Genomic DNA, 22,125 nt, shown 5'->3' with positions numbered 1-22,125 from the left:
AGAGGAAGGCGCTCCAGTTCCGGGTCAGGCCCTTCTCCCGCCTCCCTCGGCCTTAGCCATGGCGAGTAGCAGCGGTGCTGGGGCGGCGGCGGCGGCCGCGGCGGCGAATCTGAATGCGGTGCGGGAGACCATGGACGGTGAGTTTCCGTTGCGCTCCCTTTACCTTGCGTGCCTTCCCAGAGCCAAGGCCCCCAGGCGGGAATGAGCCTGGGGAGGACTTCAGGTCCCCTTAGTGCCCCAAACGGCATCTTCCAAGATCTTTGGTAGGGACCTGCCAGGGCCGCAGGGCTGATGGCCCTATCCCTTGAGAGTTGTCTCCGCCGCTGCGTAGTTTGTCGCGCGCGCTAGGCGTTGCGGCCCCTAGTCAGCCGGTTGCGCACCGCGTCCCTCTCGCGCGAATGCCGCGCCCCCTCTATCCCGCATCCCAGGTCCGCCCTACCCGCCCGATCTCCTGCGGTGACAGCGTCACGCCCACCCCACCCAGTACACCCGTTCCCTCCTGCGTGCCGCGTCCCACCCGATTCCCGCCCGGGGCGCTTCGGGGGTCCCCAAGGTTGGGATCCCGGCGGGGACAGGGGCCAGGTGTTTGGTCACCGCTATGCCTCCTGTTCTTCGCACTTAAGTAGGCACCTTTAATATCCGGCGAATGAACAAGTTCCCCTTTGGTCATAATTATCCTAGTTTCCTCTTGAAGCGGGTGACACCAGTGCCCAAGTGCTATGGTGTCGCCTGTTTTCGGCCCCGGAGGCACGTGTGTGTGAAGCCTACACAAGTGTTGCAGAACACGAAATTTGTGTCTTGCGGTTACCCTCTGTCTACCCTCTAATGTCGGTTCTGCCACTTTATGCCCCTGTGGTGAGCTTGGACTAGATACTTAAACATCATTGAGCCTGTTTAGTTTTTTTTTTTTTTTTTTCTGTAAAATAAAACCCTACCTCCAGGAGTTGTGAATATTTAAATAAGACAACCATGTAAAAACATATCAAAGATGATCAATTATTTTTATATTATTTCAGATGGCCTCTCTCTTGTAGTCTTCTTTCTTTGTCTCCTTTTTACTCACATCCACCTGTATTATGAGTGTTTGATCGATGTTGTTATTTGCAGTGGGCCTAGACGTTTTCCAGGGTCTACTCACGTCAGCTTCCGTCTCTGTTAAAAGATAACCCTATGAAATTCTCACTGCTGTATCTCTCTCTCCTTCACCGTAGGCTCTTTTTTTCTTTTTTGAGACACAGTCTTGCTGTAGTTGCCCAGGGTGGAGTGCAATGGCGCAACCTCGGCTCACTGCAACCTCCGCCTCCCGGGTTCAGGCGATTCTCCTGCCTCAGCCTCTGGAGTAGCTGGGATTACAGGTGCCCGCCAGAACACCCGGCTAATTTTTTGTATTTTTAGTAGAGACGGAGTTTCCCCATGTTGGCCAGGTTGGTCTCGAACTCCTGACTTCAGGTGATCCACATGCCTCGGCCTCCCAAAATGCTAGGATTACAGGCGTGAGCCACCATGCCCGGCCTCATTTTCTTATGTAGCACTTGCAGAGGGGCTGCTGGCTTTTTCTGCACTGGTCCTGGTTTTCTTTTCAAAGAATTACACTTTTAGAGCCTTTGCATCTAATTTTTCACTTGTTCAGTATCTACCTTGCTGTTTTTCTGAGAATGTTACTCTTAATATTCAGCTTATTTTTCTATCCTTTTCGATGTATCAACACTTAATAGTTTTATTTTGTAAGTGGATTTATGTATGAATATATATATGTGTGTGTATATAAATATAAATTTACTGTCTTGTATATTTCCTTGGAAAAAGGTAGAGTATAAGACCTCACTTCTAGCCTATTTTCTTAGGTTAGCTGTACTTAGGTTCCTTATGTATATGGCCACAGGATCCCATTTGAACAGAAAACTCACATTTTCTCTGGTGGAATCACTGATGTACAATTGAGAACTGATGGTTTGTGTTGGCTGCATCATCAAGATCTCTTCTGAGAAAACTTGGTGTGAAATGAAGATTATAAAGAGAGTAAGAACACAAAAAAGTGAAGTAAAACAAAAAATGAAGGAGAGGGGATGTGGTGTTACACAGTATTTAAATCAACCCGTGAGATCAAAAATAAAATTTTCAAAACTTTTTGAATACCATTTCTCCCCTCAATGGTAGCATTTGTGAACCTCCCTTTAAGTCATGTGAATTGCAGAACTCTTGGCTACATTTGCATTTTGATCATGAAATGAAAGGATTTTGTTAAAGACATGGAAGGAAGCAGGCTAACTTTCTATTAATAAATTATCTGTGCACCTCACTCTGAAAAGAACTATCTCTGCCAATTTAGAATAAGGTCTGCATGAGATCTCTGCTTTCATCCTTATATCCCTAAAATTCTACACGCTTAAAATAGTCGTGCCTTTTCAACAACACCCCCCTCGCAACCCACTGTGTATGGTTGCCTCTTTTGCTTTTCAACTTTTTGGTATGTTAGGTACTCTCTATTGATTGCTTTTTATACCTTAATTTTTATTTTCCTCTAAAATCGTCCTGTGCATCTGAATTTTAATTTTGATAATTATTCCTTATGAGAGGCTTTATCATAGCACTATTTTTTTTTTTTTTTTGAGACCGAGTCTGGCTGGAGTGCAGTGGCGCGACCTTGGCTCACTGCAACCTCCGCCTCCCAGGTTGAAGCTGGGGATGGGAACCAATTCTCCTGCCTTGGCCTCTGGAGTAACTAGGATTATAGGCGCCCGCCACCACGCCCAGCTAATTTTTGTATTTTTAGTAGAGACAGGGTTTCACCATGTTGGCCAGTCTGGTCTGGAACTCCTGACCTCAGGTGATCCACCCGCCTCAGCCTCCCAAAGTGCTGGGATTATAGGCGTGAGCCACTGTGCCCGGCCTGTAGCACCACTTTACATATATATATGTGTATATATATATATATATATATGTATATATATATATATATTTAGTAGTAAGTACGGGTGCCTGTAATCCCAGCTACTTGGGAGGCTGAGGCAGGAGAATCGCTTGAACCTGGGAGGCGAAGGTTGTCGTGAGCTGAGATTGCGCCACTGCACTGCAGACTGGGTGACAGAGCTAGACTCCATCTCAAAAAAAAAAAAAAAAACACGTTATAGAGAAAGGAGTTAAGAGAATCTATGGTATATAGATTCCATTTGACTAGCACTGCAAGGCAGTACCAGCGAAACAGTCCATGCTACCACCATCAATCCAGTTGCACATTTGAGAAAGAAATCTAGAAGTCAGTCTTGCTTTCTCACCTCCTCTGCCTCCTGTTCTTCACTAAGCCCTTTCAATTCTTGACTCATTTCAGGTTGGCTAAATATCTCCTGTTCATCCTACCCACCAGTCTTTTATCAAAATTGTGATATAACTGGACTTTTTAAAGATTCATTTGATACTCAGCCAAAAAGTCCTTAAAATGCAAGTTTGATTTTTTTATGTTCCTATTTTATATCATCCAGTAGCTTTCCACAGTTCTAAGATCTTCACTAGGACTTACCTCATATTTTATACCCATTCACCCCGTTAATTACATTGCCTTCACAATAGCAGTTCAGGTCTGAATTTACCAAGTTCCCTCTAGTGTAGGGACCATCACACAAGCTGTTTTCTTTGCTCTCAACCATCACCCTTCCTCCTGCCTCTGTATTAGTCTGGTTGATTTCTACTCACTTTTGATGTCTAAGTGTAATTGTCACTTCTTCAGACAAGTCTTTGCTAAACACTGTGTCCTTCCAAACTTGGTAAGATGCCCTTGTAATTTGTTTCAGAAGTATTCCACTCTTTATTTATTTTACTTATATCTGGAATCAGTTATTACTTTAATATCTATCTCTCCTCCTGGACTAATATCTGTGAGGAGTGGGACCATATATACCTTGTTCATAACTGTATTTGCAGCAGTAGCATAATAGGCACAAAATACATATAGTTAGAGGTTGATTATCTCTCATCCAAAAACCTTGGGACCATGTTTTGGATTTCAGATTTTTTTTTTTGTAATATTTTCACATACATAATGAGATATCTTGGGGATGGGACCCAAGTCCAAACACAGAATTCTTGTATGTTTTATATATACCTTATACACATAGCCTGAAGGTAATTTTGGTTTTTTCCCTCAGGGATGCTGAATGAACTGTGTATTGTGCACCTGCATTTTGACTTTGATCCATTATATGAGGTGTGGAATTTTCCACTACGGTGTTATGTCAGTACTTAATAAGTTTTGGATTTTGCGGCATTTCACATTTCAGATTTTGGAATTAGGAGTGTTCAACCTGTACTGATCATATGGTAGGCACTAAAGAAATAGTTTTTGATTACAGGCGATTTGTGAAAATAGGAAGTAAAAATAGGTGTCCATTTGAAAAGAAGGCTTAAAGAAGAAACCACAAATGAGATGGACTAAGAAAACAGCATTGAGTTATATGAAGGGAGGATAAAAGGCAGAGGAGAAAAGCAAGAACAAAGGCATGAAGTCAGGAATAAGCATAGCCTTTATACGTGGGGGGGTCTACCATGAAGAGAACAAACTGGAAACTGGAGAGAGAAGGGAGAGAATCAACTGAAAAACTGTTAGAAGCATCATAGAATTCATCAAGGTGACTGGTGATTAAAAAGTTTAATATGTAGTGTTCCAGTATACTGATGGTAACCACTTAGAATGTACAAGGGCTAAGTAGAATCCATTTGTGAAGACAGTCAAAAATAAAGTGAAGATTCAATATGGTAGATTGAGCACTTGCTGAAACTCTAAGCATATAAAAAAATAGGAAATAGTAAGAAAATATAATTATCAGGATAGACCTGTTCAAAAGCAAGAAGGGAAGTCTCCATTGATTAGGAAGAGAGAGGTTTCCCCCCAAAAGAAAGGAGCAGATGGGAACCACAGCAGGGGATTGTCGGGAATAGAATCTGACAAAGCATGCTACCCTGCCTCACTGAAGTTGGGAGTCAGAAATGTGCCATTTGTCACAGCCAGAGATTGAGAAGCACCATCCATGTGTTTTTTGGATCTGGACCAAAAATACTACAAGGCCTGATCTAGAGGCCTAAAGCTAGGGTACGGCTTCCTATCTTAGAATGGGCCACCAGTCCAGGACACCTAAAATAAATCTATGGAAGATGAGTTTTCAGCCAAGAATGACAAAGCACCTAAGGTAGATGAAAAACATGAGCAACTAACATGGAAAAGGAAAAAGAGGGAAAGTGGTAGTAACAGGGAACTCTTTTTTATTGAGCCCTACCGTATGCCAAGCACCATTCCAAAGGACTGCAAGGCAGTGTCAGCAAAACAAATGGATACCATTCTAAGTGTATCCTTTAATTCTCACACTAATCCTTTAAAACAGGTACTCTTATTATCCTCACTTTCGAGAATGGTGAAATAAGGCACAGAGAGAGTAACTTGCCTACTAAATACTACAGCTAGAATTTGAACACAGGTAGTCTGGCTCTAGAGATCACACTCCTAACCACTGTCTTTTGCTGCTTGCTTATACTCCAAGAAATAGAGATAATAGAGCAATCTCAAATACAGTTTAAGAATATAGCCTTAAATAGACGAAGGCAGGAACAACAGCTGTGAAATTTGTCACTATAAATAAGCATTTAGTTATAAAACAAGTGTTTATGGTGAGAAATTAGAAATTAGAAATCTTGAAAGCTACTGAAATAAATTTGAAATAAATTCAGCAGATAATATGAATAACAGGCTGGATACAGCTGAAGAGCAAAGTATCAGTAAATTGGAATATCAAAACTGAAGAAATGAAAATGGGAAGAGCTGTCATCTTCCAGCCAAGATGGAGTAACAGAGATTAGATTTATGCTTCTACTTGAAACAACCAAGAAAACTCAGGTAAAGCATACAGAACAATGGTTTTCAAGACACTGGACATCAGGCATCAGAGTACAGTGATCCCTTAGAGACAGGAAACAAGCAAAGTGATTTCTTGGGTTGCCCCAGCTCACTGCCTTCAGAGAGTTCCAGGCCTCAGTATAGCAGGGAGAACCCAGTGGACACACTGAAGTGAGTAGGAGGAGTTTAGAAGACCTGGGAGACCAAGGCAGGTAGAGTTTGAATAACAGTACCTGAGAGGGGAGAACTGCACAGAAAGAATGCTGGAGATCTGTAGAAGTGTCCCCCTTAAGTATTCAGAGCATTGATTAGCAGATGTGTGAGGAAAGTACTCAGAAAGCTGGGAGGGAACCATCTAGAAGGATTAGAGTGAACCGTGCACCGTGCTTACACAGGGCTGAGGATAGTGCCTGTAACTACCAGCCAGAATGGAAATCTTTGTAATTCATAAGACATTGGATACAGTACTCAGAATTCTTACCTCAATCATAAGGGGAATAATTAGCCCTATCCTAAACAGGGCTCTGGTCCTGCCTAACAGATCTAAGAAGTAATATCCGAAAGGATCAAACCATTTCCAGATAACGGTATCTCATTATAAAGCTCAAGAATTAGAAATACAAAACTATCCGGTACCTAAGTAAAATTCTAAGTACATGGCATCCAATCAAAGATTACCAGATATGCAAGGCAGAACAGTATGACCCATGATGTGAAAAATTCAGTCAATTGTAACGAACACCCCCCCGATCACACAGATGTTAGAATTAGCAGACAAGGGCATCAGAACTATACTCCATATCTCCAAAAAGTTTAGTAGAGGCATGAAAGACATTTTTTTTTTTAAGACTCAAATTGAACTGCTATTTTTGTTTGTTTGTTTTTTCTTTTGAGACAGAGTTTTGCTCTTGTTGCCCAGGCTGGAGTGCAATGGCGCAATCTCGGCTCACCGCAACCTTTACTTCCCGGGTTCAAGCGATTCTCCTGCCTCAGTCTTCCAAGTAGCTGGGATTACAGGCATGCGCCACCTTGCCTGGCTAATTTTGTATTTTTAGTAGAGACGGGGTTTCTCCATGTTGGTCAGGCTGGTCTCGAACTCCCGACCTCAGGTGATCTGTCCACCTTGCTCTCCCAAAGTGTTGGGATTACAGGCGTGAGCCACTGCGCCCGGCTCAAATTGAACTTCTAGGGATGAAAGTGAATATCTGATATGGAAGAAATGGGAGGGACCTATCTCATGAACATGATAAATACTATAAGAATTTTCAGAAAGACTTAGACTTAAATTAATGGGTGACTAAATATTGATAACTTGTCCATTCTTCCCAAAATAATAATGTAGTTTTTATACAGTTAATCAGAATCCAGTTGGAATTTGTTTTTAGAATTGATGAAAAATGTTCAGTTCATCCGAAGAATAAAATGGCTTATATAAATGAAAGATGACAACGGAATGTTTACCCTACTACATGCAATATAAAGTTAGAAATTAAATGGTTGCCCTTACAAAAGATAGACATGTAACAAATTTGTAAGTATATGGGAATTTACTATGAATAAAGGTGGCATCTCAACTGGGTGGGGAAAACTTAGGTCATTCAATAAATTTTACTGGGGCAACTGGCTCATTTCTGGGAGGAAAAGTTAGATCCTATTTTCCACCCAAACTCTAGGGAGATAAATACTTATGGGGGGTTTTGGGAAATAAACTTCAAAGTGCTGGAAGAGAATACTGGTGGATATAATCTTTTCATGGGGAATAATTTTCTAAGCATAATGCCAAGGGGAAATGATATAGGAAACAATAGATAATATGTTGACAGTTGACTTAAAATATTCTAAATACTCTCTGGGAAGCAATCTTAAAACAAAATTCAGTGGAACCGGTGTACTTACAACCTGTAATGGAAGGGATTCTGAAAATCACTTTGGAAACCAAGTTTCTCTGTTTGTGCTTCTCATGTTAAAGACAATGAGTTCTATCAACTACAATAAAATGCAGTACTATACAAATGAAGTTTAAAAAATATAAGGTTTCATTTTTATTATTAGATTCAACAGACATGATTACGCTGTCAAATTGTTATAAAAGTTTCTAAACACTTTTAAAGCCTTAAATATGTACATTACCTTTTTTTGACTATTGTATGTCAATTCAGCAAATTAAATATGTATATTACTGACTGAGCAGTTCTACTTCTAGAAATTTATCCTAATGAAATAAAATTTAGTATGTACAGATTCTTACCAATATTATTTTAATGAGAGAAACATGAGAGCAGCCTAACTTTTAAAGTAACAGAGTAGTTAAGTATAGTGTTTCCATAAAATGGAATAATATGCGACTAGTTAAACTGCATTTTAAAAGAATACTAAAAAATAAGCAAGTGTTCAGAATTATCCTAAGTATGGTGGATACATGTTAGATATTAAACAAGTGCTAGAATATATAGCAAGATGTAAAAGGCAGTTATGTGAAGGGAAGGTGTAAGTTTATATTTATATTTAAGTTTCTAAAACTAAGTAAAGGCAAGAAAGTATTACATGCAGATTTCCAAAACCTGGGATGCTATGCTAATTCCTTGGTATTGTGCAGTGATATATAAATTAATGAAAGTACTATATGCATATTTTTAAATGCTGTAAGCCTTAAGTTTTTTTTTTTTTTGTATCTTTTTTCAGTTCTGCTTGAGATTTCAAGAATTTTGAATACTGGCTTAGATATGGAAACTCTGTCTATTTGTGTACGGCTTTGTGAACAAGGAATTAACCCAGAAGCTTTATCATCGGTTATTAAGGAGCTTCGCAAGGCTACTGAAGCACTGAAGGTTGGAGATTCCTATTAGTTCATTCTAAATAAAGATGCTTTTATTTAGAAAAATGATTAATGATGAAGTTATGGGAAACATCCTGGTTAAACAAGGTTAAACTAACATGCAACACCACTAGAAGACCAGGAGCTCAATAGTGTATGTTCATATCATAAAAATTACTACTACTAGGCCGGGCGCAGTGGCTCACACCTGTAATCCCAGCACTTTGGGAGGCTGAGTTGGGCGGATCATGAGGTCAGGAGATCGAAACCATCCTGGCTAACACAGTAAAGCCCCATTCTCTACTAAAAATACAAAAAAATTAGCCAGGCGTGGTGGTGGGCACCTGTAGTCCCAGCTACTTGGGAGGCTGAGGCAGGAGAATGGCGTGAACCCAGGAGGCGCGGAGCTTGCAGTGAGCCAAGTTGGCGACACTGCACTCCAGACTGGGTGACAGAGTGAGACTCCGTCTAAAAAAAAAAAAAAGAAAAATTACTACTACCATGGACCATGTTATGTTTTCCCAGAAGTCTGTTTTTAGAATTGTGCTATTTGGTGAGTAAAATTGTGCCTGCTCCAGAAGAGGCATGTTGAGGTCCTAACCCCTGGTCCCAATGAATATGACCTTATTTAGAAATAATGCCTTTGCAGATATAATCAAATTAAGATGAGGTCATCCTGGATTAGGGTAGATCCTAACCCAATAATTGGTGGCCTTAGAAGAGAAATTTGGACACAAATAGCCAAGGAAAGTTAAGGATTTTCTGTGGCCATAAGAAGCTAGAAAGAGGCAAGGAAGGATATTCCCCTAGAGCTGTCAGAGAGCATGACCCAGCTAACGCCTTGGTTAAATATGTATAGTAGGTATGGATTTCTGGCCTTCAAACTGTAAATAGATTTTTGTTGTTTTAACCCACCTAATATGTGGTTACTTTATTATGGCAGTCCCAGAAATCTGATACAGATTTTGGTACTGGGAAGTGGGGTGTTGCTGTAACAAATACTTAAAAGTGAGGATGTGGCTTTGGAATTGGGTATTGGATAGAGACTGGAAAGTTTTAAGGTGCTTGATAGAAAAAGACTAGATTTCCTTGAAGAGGAACTGTTAGTAGAACTGTGAATGTTGAGGCAATTCTGGTGAGGGCTCAGAAAGAAGAGAAAAGAACTGTAGAGAAAGCTTCAGAGTTTTTTCGAGACTAACATTAGGATCAGAATGTTGCTAGAAATGTAAATGTTAAAAGCACTTTTAGTGAAGACCCAGATGGAAATGGGGAACATTTATTGGACACTAAAAGAAAGGTGGTCTTTGTTAGAAAGTGACAGAATGGGCCAGGCACAGTGGCTTAATGCCTGTAATCCCAACACTATGGGACACCAAGGTGGGTGGATCACCTGATGTCAGGAGTTCAAAACCAGCCTGACCAACATAATGAAACTCCATCTCTACTAAAAATACAAAATTAGCCAGGCGTGGTGGCACATGCCTGTAATCCCAGCTACTTGGGTGGCTGAGGCAGGAGAATTGCTTGAACCCAGGAGGCAGAGGTTGCAGTGAGCCAAGATTGCGATATTGCACTCCAGCCTGGGCAACAGGAGCGAAACTCCATCTAAAAAAAAAAAAAAAAAAAAGAAAGTGACAGATTGTGGCTGAATTGTGTTCTATTGTTGGAAGGAAAATAGAATATGTAAGCAATGAACTTGGATATTTCATTGAGGAAATTTCCAAGCAAATTGTGGAAGGTGTAGCCTGATTTCTTTTTGCTGCTTAATAATGTGACACAAATGAGCAATCGAGTAAGGACCTGCTAAGAGAAAAGGAACTAGCATCTGAGAATTTAGAAAATTCTCAGCCTGTCTGAATAACATGTTCTGGAGACAGGGCTAAGAGTGTGGCTACACTTTTGTGAAGACATTAGGTATGTGATAGAGCCAGTCAACCATCTCAACACAAACACTGCCAGCTTGGACAGGATGAAGTGAAAGAAGGCTATCAGATTAGTGGGATTGTTTAGACAGGAAACTGGCTGATAGAGCTGCTCAGCTGAGGGCCCATGTGTTATCCTTCAAGAAAAGGAAAAAGTGACTCCAAGAGCGCCTCAGAGACCATGGGACTGCTGCTGCCACCAGGTTCCCAGAGGGCCACCTTTTTTCCAATTCAAATTAACCACGTTTTAATTGCTCAGATTGGCAACTAAAAACATGTCCTATTCTGTCTTCCACAGACTTTCTGATTTAAAAGCTTGTGATTTTATTTCCCTTTTTATATAGCACTAACTCACTTTGAATACTGAAACTTTAAGTTAGTTCATCTTAAAACTTGTCCAAAACATGGGCTCATAGAGACGGTCAATGGGGGGAAAAACAAACAAACAAATAAAACCTTCTGATACCTGATACAAAGTGACTTCTCTTTTTTCTTACCTTTAAGAAATCAACTATTTAAAACATGCAATTTACATATCTTTCAGATTATTTTCCAATGAGTTCTTATTCTTTAGGTTTGTTTTTGTGCTTTTTAAAATCTCTTGATTATTAAATCTAACTAAAAAGGGTAAACCACATTTGTAGAGCTAAAATGTATCATAAAGAGAATATCCATGCAACCATCACTGCCAGCACCAGATAATCCCCCTTCTGCCCTCTCCCCAGTCACTAACCCCTCTCTCTTGCTCTCCTCTCCAGTAACTACTATCCTCACTTTTATGGTAGACTCTGTATTAGTCCATTCTTGAATTGATATAAAGAAATACCTGCCGGGCATGATAGCTTAAGCCAGTAATCCCAGTACTTTGGGAGGCTGAGGTGGGCAGAGCACTTGAAGTCAGGAGTTCAAGACCAGCCTGGCCAACATAGTGAAACCCATCTCTACTAAAAATAAAAAAATTAGCCAGGCATTATGGCAGGCACTGTAATCCCAGCTGCTCGGGAGGCTGAGGCAAGAGAATCACTTGAACCCAAGAGGCGGAGGTGGCAGTGAGCCAAGATTCACACCACTGTACTCTAGCCTGGGCAACAGAGGAAGACTTCCTCTTAAAAAAAAACAAAAACAAAAAAACCGGAGACCAGATAATTTGTAAAGAAAAGAGGTTTAATTGGCTCATAGTTCTGCAGGCTGTATAGAAAGCATAGTGGCATCTGCTTCTGGAGAGGCCTTAGGAAGGTTACAATCATTATGGAAACAAAGGGGGAGAAGGCATGTCACATGGCAAAAACAGGAGCAAGAGAGGGAGAGAGTGAGGTGCCACAGTTTTATGTAACCATAACTCTTAAGAATTCACTCACTTTAGCGAGTACAGCACCAAGAGGATGGTGCTAAACCATTCATGAGGGATGAATTCAGTCAACTCCCACCAGGCCCCACCTCCAACATTGGAGATTACAATGGAGATTACAACATTGGAAATTACATTTCAAGGTGAAATTTGGGTGGGGATGCACATCCAAACTATCATTCCCTCGCTGGCCCTTCCCAGATCTCATGTGTTCTTCTCACATTGCAACATACAATCATGCCTTCCCAACAGTCCCCAAAAGTCTTAACTCATTCCAGCAATAACTCAAAAGTCCAAAGTTCTGAGACAAGGCAAGTCCCTTCCACCTATGAGCCTGTAAAATCTAAAACAAGTTATTTACTTCCAAGACACAATGGGATTATAGACATTGGGTAAACATTCCCATCCCAAAATGGGTAAATCAGCCAAATGAAAGAGGCTACAGGCCCCATACAAGTTCCAAACCCAGCAGGGTAGTCATTAAATCTTAAAGCTCCAAAAAAATCTCCTTTGACTCTGTGTCCCACATGCAGGACACACTGGTGGGAGGGGTATGCTCCCAAGGCCTTGAGCAACTCTGCCCCTGTGGCTTTACAGGGTTAAGCCCCCATGGCTGCTTTCGTGGGCTGGCATTGTTGAGTGTCTGCAGCTTTTCAAGGCTCAGGGTACAAGCTGTCAGTGGATCTACCATTCTGGGGTTGGAGAACGGTGGCCCTCTTCTCACAGCTCCATTCGGCAGTTCCCCAGTGAGGACATTGTGTAGGGGCTCCAACCCCATATTTCCCCTCTGCACTACTCTAGTAGAGATTCTCCATGAGGGCTCCACCCCTGAAGCAGGCTTCTGCCTAGATACCCAGGCTTTTCCATATATCCTCTGAAATCTAGATGGAGGCTGCCAAGCCTCAGCCATTGTACTCTGTGCACCCACAGGCTTGACACCACATGAAAGTCACCAAGGCTTATGTCTTGGATCCTCTGAAGCCGTGTCCCAAGCTATACCTGGGCCACTTTGAGTCATGGCTGGAGCCAGAGTGGCTGGGATGCAAGAAGCAATGTCCCAAGGCTGTGGAGGGCTGCGGGGCCCTGAGCCTGGCCCATAAAACCATTCTATCCTAGTTCTCAGGGCCTGTAATGGGAAGGGCTGCCTCTTAGATCTCTGAAATGTTGTCTAGGCCTTTTACCCATTATCTTGGCTATCAGCACTTGCCTTCTATTTAGATTCAGAAATTTCTCTAGCAAGTGGTTGCTTTGCAGCCCCCTTGAATTCTCCTGAAAATGGGCTTTTCTTTTCTACCACATGGACAGGTTGCACATTTTCTAAACTTTTATGCTCTGCCTCCCCTTTAAGTATAAGTTCCAGCCTTAGGTTATTTCTTTGCTCATGCATCTGAGCATATGCTGTTAGAAGGAGCCATGCAACATGTTGAACACTTGGCTGCTTAGAAATTTCTTCCACCAGATACCCTAAATCACTCTCAAGTCCAAACTTCCACAGATCCCTAGGACATGGGCACAATGCAGCCAAATTTTTTGCTAAAGCATAACATGCATGACCTTTGCTCCAGGTCCTGATCCTGGGCCTCGGAGACTGTCATGGGAAGGGCCGTGTCTTAGATCTCTGAAATGCTGTCTAGGCCTTTTACCCATTATCTTGGCTATCAGCACTTGTCTCCTATTTAGATAGGGAAGTTTCTTTTTTACCTCAAACCTTTGGCTTTCATATGGCAGAAAGAAAAATAACTGAATAACAAGAATAGCTAATATTTATATGAATACTTTTCTCATGCCAGACCGTATGTTCTACAGGCTTTACTGGCATTATTTCCTCTATCATTATAACAGTGATAACTACTACAGTTTGAGCATTCCAAATCTGAAAATCCAACATGCTCCAAAATCTGAAATACTTTGAGTACCAACATGACACTCAAAGGAAATCCTCACTGGAACATTTCAGATTTTCTAATTAGGGATGCTCAGTCAGCAAGTACAGTCAGTCCTCTGTATTTGTGGGTTCTGCATCCATGGATTCAACCAGCTGTGGATCAAAAATATTTGGGGAACAGGGGGAAGGATGGTTATGTCTGTACTAAGAATGTACAGACTTTTTTTCTTCTCATGATTCCCTAAACAATACAGGATAACAACTATTTACATAGCGTTTACATCGTGTTAGGTATCACAACGAATCCAGAGATGATGTAAAGTATGTGGGAGGATACATGTAGGTTATATGCAAATACTATACCCTTTTATATAAGGCATTTGAGCATCTGTGGACCTTCGTATCTGTGAGGTGGGGAAGATGGGGAGTCCTGGAACTAACAATTCACCATGGATACCAAGGGACAACTTCAATGCAAATTTTCCAAAATTTTAGGACATCTGAAATCAGAAACAGTTCTGGTCCCAAGCATTTCCGACAAGGGATACTTATCCTATGCTACTATTAGTAGTTTACTGCTAAGGAAACTGAAGCTTATGGTGACTAATTTACTTACCTTAAGAACTTTACAGTTAGTGATTGACCTGAGATTTGAACTTGGGCTCTCTGACTTCAGAGTTGTTTACTTAACTACTAAGTTTTCTCCTCCAGTAAAATCTCAAGAATTCCTGAGCCAGCAGTTTAGGAAAAGATGAAGTCGTTATTAGAAACAAGAGTCCTTGGGCTTTAGCATGGGCACATTCCCTGACTTAATATTATCTAATAACTTTTAATAAAAATAAAAATGAGTATTATAGTATTTTATCAGTGTATTTCTGAAATTTTTGAGGGAAAGATTTATTTAGTACACATCTGCCACAACTGCAAGAGTTTTTGTTTTACTGTGCTTGAATTTGAAAGGGAATTAACATAATAGGAAGATATTTTTGTTTTGTACTACAGTTTGAGTGCATATAAGAGAACCAGAGTCAAATAAACCTAGCTGAGGCAGGTGACTGACAAGTGCTTTGGCATAGCATTTTCTTAGGCAAAATATAAGCTACGATATTAGGATAGGCAGTTCAGAAATGCCAATTTAACATAGCTTTTTCAGCTTTTAGCATACTAGTTATTCTGCATCCAGTGGGCCATAGTGAGATGTGGGAGGTAAAATCAGTAATTAAGATACACTGAATCAGAAAGTGTTGACTATTTGAATGGAAAATCTGTCTCTCACATACACAAAGCCTCTTAAAATGCATTTCTCCTATGATCTAGAAACAGTATACTAGCATCACATTAAAACTAGGGTGTTTCAGCTAGGCGTGCTGGCTCACGCCTGTAATACCAGCACTTTGGGAGGCCAAAGCAGAAGGATCACTTCAGGCCAGGAGTTTAAGACTGCCTTGGGCAACATAGTGAGACCCCATCTCTACAAAATATTTATTTTAGTTAGCTGGGTATGGTGGTACACACCTGTAGTTCTGGTTATTCAGGAGGATGGCCTGAGCTCAGGCATTTGAGGCTGCAGTAAGCTGTGATTGTGCCACTGCACTCCAGCCTGGGCAACAGAGTGAAAACAACAACAGCAACAACTAGGGAGTTTCTAGCAAACAAGTATTTATTACAACTTGTTTTTTTGAAGTAATTGACATAATCTCTATAATTTTTATGAAAGTAATGCATCCTTATACTTTTAAGATATTTAATTCAGAAAATACAAAAAATTTAAAAAAAAATCACTCAAGATTACCAAAGAGATTGCCTGCAATAATGTTTGGTGAACATCATTCCAGATAGTATCATGCTATTTTAAAAATAAAAGTGTTATACTTGATTTCAGTGAATTGAAAAAGAATAACTCATCGGTTTGCTTCTCCCTGGATTAAAGTCTTGTTCTCTCTTATTGCCATTTGGGACAGAGTTGGGGAGCTGGTGGGTTTAGAGATACACTGAGCCACACCTGCCTTTCCTTGACCACCCTTTTATTGGCTTTACAAGCATAAGGTTCTTCTCCCTGCCTTGTGTGGTTGCTGCTCATGAATTTTTTTCTCATTTTTTTTTTTTGTTAATTTCTTTCAGTTTTAAAATTAAGGTAAAGAGAAATTGTTCCTGCTGTGTTCTATCTTTATCTAGAATTCCTGGTATTTAGAATTTAACTGTATGGTATTTATTGTCTCTTTTTTTGGAATATGTAGGATAACAAATCAAGGGTATCTTGAAATGTTGCAAAAAACTGTTGGTCTGAGACATTCCTTTTTTCTTTTGCTCTTTGGTTGACTATTTAGAAAACAGTAACTATTTTTTGTGAATTTTTTTGCTTTTTACTTTCACAGATTTGTATATTGATGTGGTCTAAGTCATTTATAGTAAAAGTAGCTAGCTATGTATCTCCCTAATTACATAAGTTACTCAACAGCCATAAATAGGCCACTTTATACATATCTCCCACAGCATAAATAGGATTGTTAATTAAGTGCATTTGATTAGTGATTCTTTATTGACATTGAATTTTTATATTATCTCCTTAGTTCTAGGATTTATGTGTAAGCAGTCATCTACATATTGTAATTTGAGAAGTTCTGAGCAAAACCTACTTTCCTGTATCTTCTATTTTAGTACCCCAGTGTCTTAAGTTATACCATTATGGTGGAGTCCTGTGGACTAAGGCTTGCCCTTTCTCTTACAGATGTCCTGTACTGTTACTAATACTTTAGTGTAAATCTGCGATGTGTCCCTGTGTAGGTAGGTCTTATAAAAAGGAGTTAGAAAGGTAAATGAATTAAAATACTAACACATATTTCTAAAATTAAACTTATTTAAAATTATATCTTTTTATATTGATGTTAAGAAATTTTTTAGGTAGGATAATAGTATGGTGATTTGTTTAAGTCTCTAGAAATAATGTATCAAAGTATTTATTGATGATATGGTATCTTGGAATTTCTTCAGAATCACCTGGGAAAGAGTAGTAGTTAGGGATGTAGATGAGACAGGATTAGATAAGATGTTCATTATTCATCTTTTGCTCTTGTTCTCTCTGCCTTGTAGCATGAAAGGTCTTTTTCATTTTTAATCCCTATTACTAGAATAAAACACAGAAACAGACAAACTAATGAAGTCTGTGGCAACAGGTCTGCCATAGGTTAATGTTTCAAGTAGCAGTATGTTTTTTGTGCTCTTAACTATTATTTTAGGTGATATAACTATTTTCCACTGTTAGCCTGTGGACTGTTAACTGTACATTCAAAAGGTAGTCCTGATGTATAGCAAAACATGAAAAGCACTGCATTACTGTGATAAAAGTGGTTCTGTTTTATGGGGAATAGTTGTTTGTTAATGACAGTGCAGTATTGACAAATTTATCTTCATGATGCCTCTTTTTCCATGGTTTTATTGTAATGAATCTTACTTTCTTGTTCTAGGCTGCTGAAAATATGACAAGCTGACTTTCTGGAGAAATTCTGATGAGATATGTCAAGCTCTGCAAGAGGGTTTGAAGATTGCATTGTAGTTGAGAATGTACAATGAAATTACTGCATGCAGCAGTGTAGAAAAATTTTACTTTTTAAAAGAATTATAAAACCATAGCTTTATAAATCAGTGGAAAGTGGCTTACAGAGAGAACTATCAGATGTGTTTACATCACATCTTATTCACTTTTTTTAACAGCTCTAATGCTTTGGCATTGCTATGTTCATATTTATGTATTCCTTATTTATAGCTCTGATAGCTTTAATTTTCTAAGCAGTCTGTCTATCAGATGTGCACATCTGCTGTGCCAGGTTGAAGTATAGTGGAACCCATCAGTAGTAATGTGTAGTAGTTATGACTTGTTGACATTTCCATTATAAACTTTAATTTTGAATTGTTTATGCATTATAACTGTGGATTTATATTGTATTGGGCTGAAAGTTGACAGGATTTCAGCCACCACTTGTGAATTTTTATTTAGATTCATTATGTATATCAGAATCTTGTTTTTTGAAATAAGAGCATGGAAAACATTTCTTGTAATCTACTCTTGAACAAAGAATATTTAGTTTTTCAAACAGTTTGTTGGGCAGCTAATAGTGTGAACCAGGTCATTTTTGTATTGAGTAAAAAAATCAAACTTTGAGAAACTTGGATTTTAAAAGTAATGACAATGCTTAGGTTAGTATTATTTGTAATTTGAATCATTTACATCTAATGAGAATGTTAGTTGAGAATGTTTTCTTAAAGTTTTATATCCTATAAATAACGGAATAAAAAAATTTGTAAAATGAAACAACAAACATGCAAAATTCCTATTTACTTTTATTACATAAAAGTAATTTTAGTGCTTACCTAATAAATCTTGAATGGTTATTTAATAAATTATTAGATGGGTGATGTGTTTCAAAAGATACTTGCTATTTTTTGAAGAAATAAGGATTTCCAGTCATTAAACAAAACTAAACAATCTTATTAGATGGGTGATGTGTTTCAAAGGATACTTGCTATTTTTTGAAGAAATAAGGATTTCCAGTCATTAAACAAAACTAAACAATCAAATGTTCTATATTAGGAATCTCAAGTATGGCTTTTTTTAAAAAACCTTTTTAACATCTTGATGTCAAGGATTATAAGTATGGCTTTTCAGAATTGTTTTGTTTGTCATTATTCTTGCCTTTAAAATTTTAACTCATCAAAGTGAAGATTAGAAATAAATTTTAGAAAATGTAGAATAGTATTGATTCTGTTCCTGTAATAGAATCTCAGTGGAGTTTTTTTGCAAAACTAATATGGATTTCATCTGATTTTATTATTTCTTAAATTTTAGATTTTATTGAGTACCATTTATATGATTGTACAAGCATTCACTCTTTACTAGCATTTTTTGTTTTTCAGACAAGCTGAAGTGGTTTTATTAAGATTTGGTAATATTTAAATAGCAACCTTCTCTGCCTTTTTTTTTTTTTAATATAGAATTTTGACCATTTTGACTTTTTAAATGCCTGGCATCTTTACCAACCAAGTAAACTGGAAGATCTGTTACTGGTAGAACAGGTTGAGGAGACAGTAGGAATTTGTAAAAAGTCATTTGATTTATAATCAACACTACAAATACTATGTGTTATTTATAAAATCATAAAGAACACTTTTGTCAGACTCCAAAATTTGTATATACTTCCAGGCCATAAGAGTTGATAGTATTATTTATGACTTTGTAGATTAAGTTATTTATGTATGAAACAAAGCAGGAAAATATATTGAGAAGGGATCGTGTTTACAGAGGACTTCTTTAAAGTGTCACATTTTTAAAATGTAAACATATTTTTAATGCATACTTAAGTAATATTTAAGAAACTAAACAAAATAATGATACAATTGCAGTGTTGTGCTTGTTGTCAATGACAAAAATAAAACCATTTTGGTGGTATTGGCCTGTACTTTTGTTTTAATATATGCTTTTGTTAATTCAACTTGTGTTTCTATAGGACAAAAGATACAGAACATAAAATTTACCATTTTAACCTTTTTTTTTTTTTTTTTTTGAGATGGAGTCTCACTCTGTCACCCAGGCTGGAGTGCATTGGCATGATCTTGGCTCAATGCAGCCTCCGCCTCCTGGGTTCAAATGATTCTCCTGCCTCAGCCTCCCGAGTAGCTGGGATTACAGGCACCTGCCACCATACCTGGCTAATTTTTTGTATTTTTAGTAGAGGCGGGGCTTCACCATGTTGGCCAGGCTGGTCTCAAACTCCTGACCTCAGATGATCTGCCTGCCTCAACCTCCCAAAGTGCTGGGATTATAGGCATGAGCTACAATGCCCTGCCCTTTTTAACCATTTTTAAGTTTCATAGTTCAGTGACATTCAGAATATTCTTATTGTATTGTAACTATCACTATTGTCCATCTCTTGAACTTTCTTATCCCAAACTGAAACTCTGTACCTGTTTAGCAGTAACTCCCCATTGCTTCCTCCTCCCAGCCCCTGGTAAACAGTTTCCTACTTTTTTGTCAATGAATTTGACTATTCTGGATACCTCATATAAGTGGAATCATATTTGTCCTTTTGTGTTCGTCTTATTTTACACAGCACGTCTCCAAGATCTATCCATGTTATAACATGTATCCAGATTTCCTCTTTAAGGATGAATATGTCTCATATATACATGGGAGACAGGTATTCTTTTATATATATGGTGGACATTTGGGTTGTTTCTACCTTTTGTCTATTCTGAAAAGGCTATTCACAATAGCCACAATGTTATGGGCATTGGTATACAAATAACTGTTCAGGTCCTTGTCAGTTCTTTGGAGTGTATACCCAGCAGTGGAATTGCCAGCTTTTAAACATTTTTTTTTAAGTTTAACTTTAATTCCATAGGCATTAGAGAAAGAAGGGGACATGGTCAAGCTTTTTTTGGGAGTTGCTTTGCTAGTGACATGTAGGCTTGATTTGAGCAGGGAGAGGTTAGAAGCAGAGACTAGTTAGAACACTACTGAGTAACCCAGGCCTCAATGCTCACATCTGGGTAGATTCAAGAGACATTACAAAAAATAAACATAGGACTTAATGGCAGGTTATGGGGAAAATAGAAAAGAAAATAAGGTGACTGAGTTTCTAAGCCTGGGTAACAAAGATATTATCAGCAAATGGAAATCAAGAAGGGAATATAATTTTCCTGGAAAAAAATGATTTTTATTTAAAGAGTATTGTGTTTAACATATATATTAAATCTTAAACCTTGCCAATCTTCCAAAGACCATTGCCCATCTCCATTTTTTTTTGTCCTACAGCATTACCACTCTCTAACATAGTATACAATTTACTTAGTTTTATCTATTAATATAAACAAATATACCTCTACCTGAAAGTCCCACAGGGGCGGGGATATTTCTGTGTTGCCACTGGTGTATCTTAAGTGTCTTGAACAGTGCCTAGCACATAAGAAATGCTCAATAAATACATGTTGGCTGAATGAATGGATAGACTGGGCATCCAGGAAACAACATGTACCACGTGGTTGAAAATAACTAACATTGAGAACTTGCTGCATGCAAGGCACTGGTTTTGGTGCTTTTAATAGATCAAATTGTTTAACCTTTAGGCTTACAGCAACCACGAGAGATAGATAGCATCATCCTATTATAGGTCAGGAAGCTGAGGCACAAAGTGGTATACAACTTAAATCTCAGAAGTGGTAGAGCCAGGATTTGAACCCTGGTAAATTGAGTCTGGAGCCCACACACCTTAGTGCCTGTTACTATACATCATCTCATGGGATGAAGAGGCACAACTGGAGAGGAAGATGAAGGAGATTGAAAATCAGATGGCCAAAGTGGTAGTCGAAGCTCTGGATGTAGATGCTGAGAATTTAATAGAAGACTAGTGACAGATGCTTCTCTTTCCCAGGATTGTCCCATTCTTAGGGAATATACCATTGATGATGGTAGGTTGGTGAAGTTTTGTAGCATCTCAGCAGATCTATATTACTGCTTTTTAATTACAACAATGTAAATAAATAACAGGTTAAAGTCATTCCCTTTCCAGAGGTGCTATACTTGAGAAACCCAGTTCTAACAACAAAAAGATCTCTCTTTTATGAAGTTCACTGTTGGGCTCATATATACCAGACTGGAGTATTGTAAATGTTGTAAAAAAGATGGTGCATGTGGTACTCACTTTGGCAGCACATACACTAAAATTGGAACGATACAGCAAAGATTAGCATGGCCCCTGCACAAGGATGACACACAAATTCGTGAAGTGTTCCATATTTTTAATTGCTTCAAAGAGAATAAAATACCTAGGAATCCAACTTAGAAGGGATGTGAAGGACCTCTTCAAGGAGAACTACAAATCACTGCTCAACGAAATAAAAGAGGACACAAACAAATGGAAGGACATTCCATGCTCATGGAAGAATCATGAAAATGGCCATACTGCCCAAGGTAATTTATAGATTCAATGCCATCCCCATCAAGCTACCAATGACTTTCTTCACAGAATTGGAAAAAACTACCTTAAAGTTCATATGGAACCAAAAAAGAGCACACATTGCCAAGACAATCCTCAGCCAAAGGAACAAAGCTGGAGGCATCACGCTACCTGACTTCAAACTACACTACAAGCCTACAGTAACCAAAACAGCATGGTACTGGTACCAAAACAGAGATATAGACCAATGGAACAGAACAGAGCCCTCAGAAATAATGCTGCATATCTACAACCATCTGATCTTTGACAAACCTGACAAAAACAA

The 22,125-nt window shown here is 38.8% G+C and overlaps 1 protein-coding gene and 1 pseudogene across 1 annotated transcript, besides 4 other annotated features; both read left to right on the top strand.

The window, feature by feature from the left end:
• Positions 1-31: 31 nt before the first annotated feature.
• On the top strand, positions 32-19,294 carry MZT1 (mitotic spindle organizing protein 1). The gene is made up of 3 exons (NM_001071775.3): positions 32-137; positions 8,564-8,709; positions 17,316-19,294. Exons 1-3 carry the CDS (start codon positions 59-61, stop codon positions 17,337-17,339), a joined length of 249 nt encoding a protein of 82 aa, NP_001065243.1. The 5' UTR covers positions 32-58; the 3' UTR covers positions 17,340-19,294.
• Positions 227-296: an enhancer, noted in NCBI's record as "active region_7813". NCBI's record gives its function as "activates an Ori minimal core promoter by ATAC-STARR-seq in GM12878 lymphoblastoid cells {active_cell/tissue: GM12878}" and the evidence as "EXISTENCE:reporter gene assay evidence [ECO:0000049][PMID:35858748]".
• Positions 390-571: a silencer, noted in NCBI's record as "fragment chr13:73301228-73301409 (GRCh37/hg19 assembly coordinates)". NCBI's record gives its function as "represses an EF-1alpha promoter that drives an FKBP-Casp9 reporter gene in an ReSE screen in HepG2 liver carcinoma cells {active_cell/tissue: HepG2}" and the evidence as "EXISTENCE:reporter gene assay evidence [ECO:0000049][PMID:32094911]".
• Positions 390-586: a biological region, named in NCBI's record as "ReSE screen-validated silencer GRCh37_chr13:73301228-73301409".
• Positions 527-586: a silencer, noted in NCBI's record as "silent region_5394". NCBI's record gives its function as "represses an Ori minimal core promoter by ATAC-STARR-seq in GM12878 lymphoblastoid cells {active_cell/tissue: GM12878}" and the evidence as "EXISTENCE:reporter gene assay evidence [ECO:0000049][PMID:35858748]".
• On the top strand, positions 21,538-21,644 carry RNU6-80P (RNA, U6 small nuclear 80, pseudogene; annotated as a pseudogene).

This window comes from Homo sapiens, chromosome 13 (assembly GCF_000001405.40).
Source record: "Homo sapiens chromosome 13, GRCh38.p14 Primary Assembly".
NCBI lineage: Eukaryota > Metazoa > Chordata > Mammalia > Primates > Hominidae > Homo > Homo sapiens.
The sequence above is the reverse complement of the archived record's forward strand: the minus strand, read 5'-3'. Positions and strand labels throughout refer to the sequence as shown.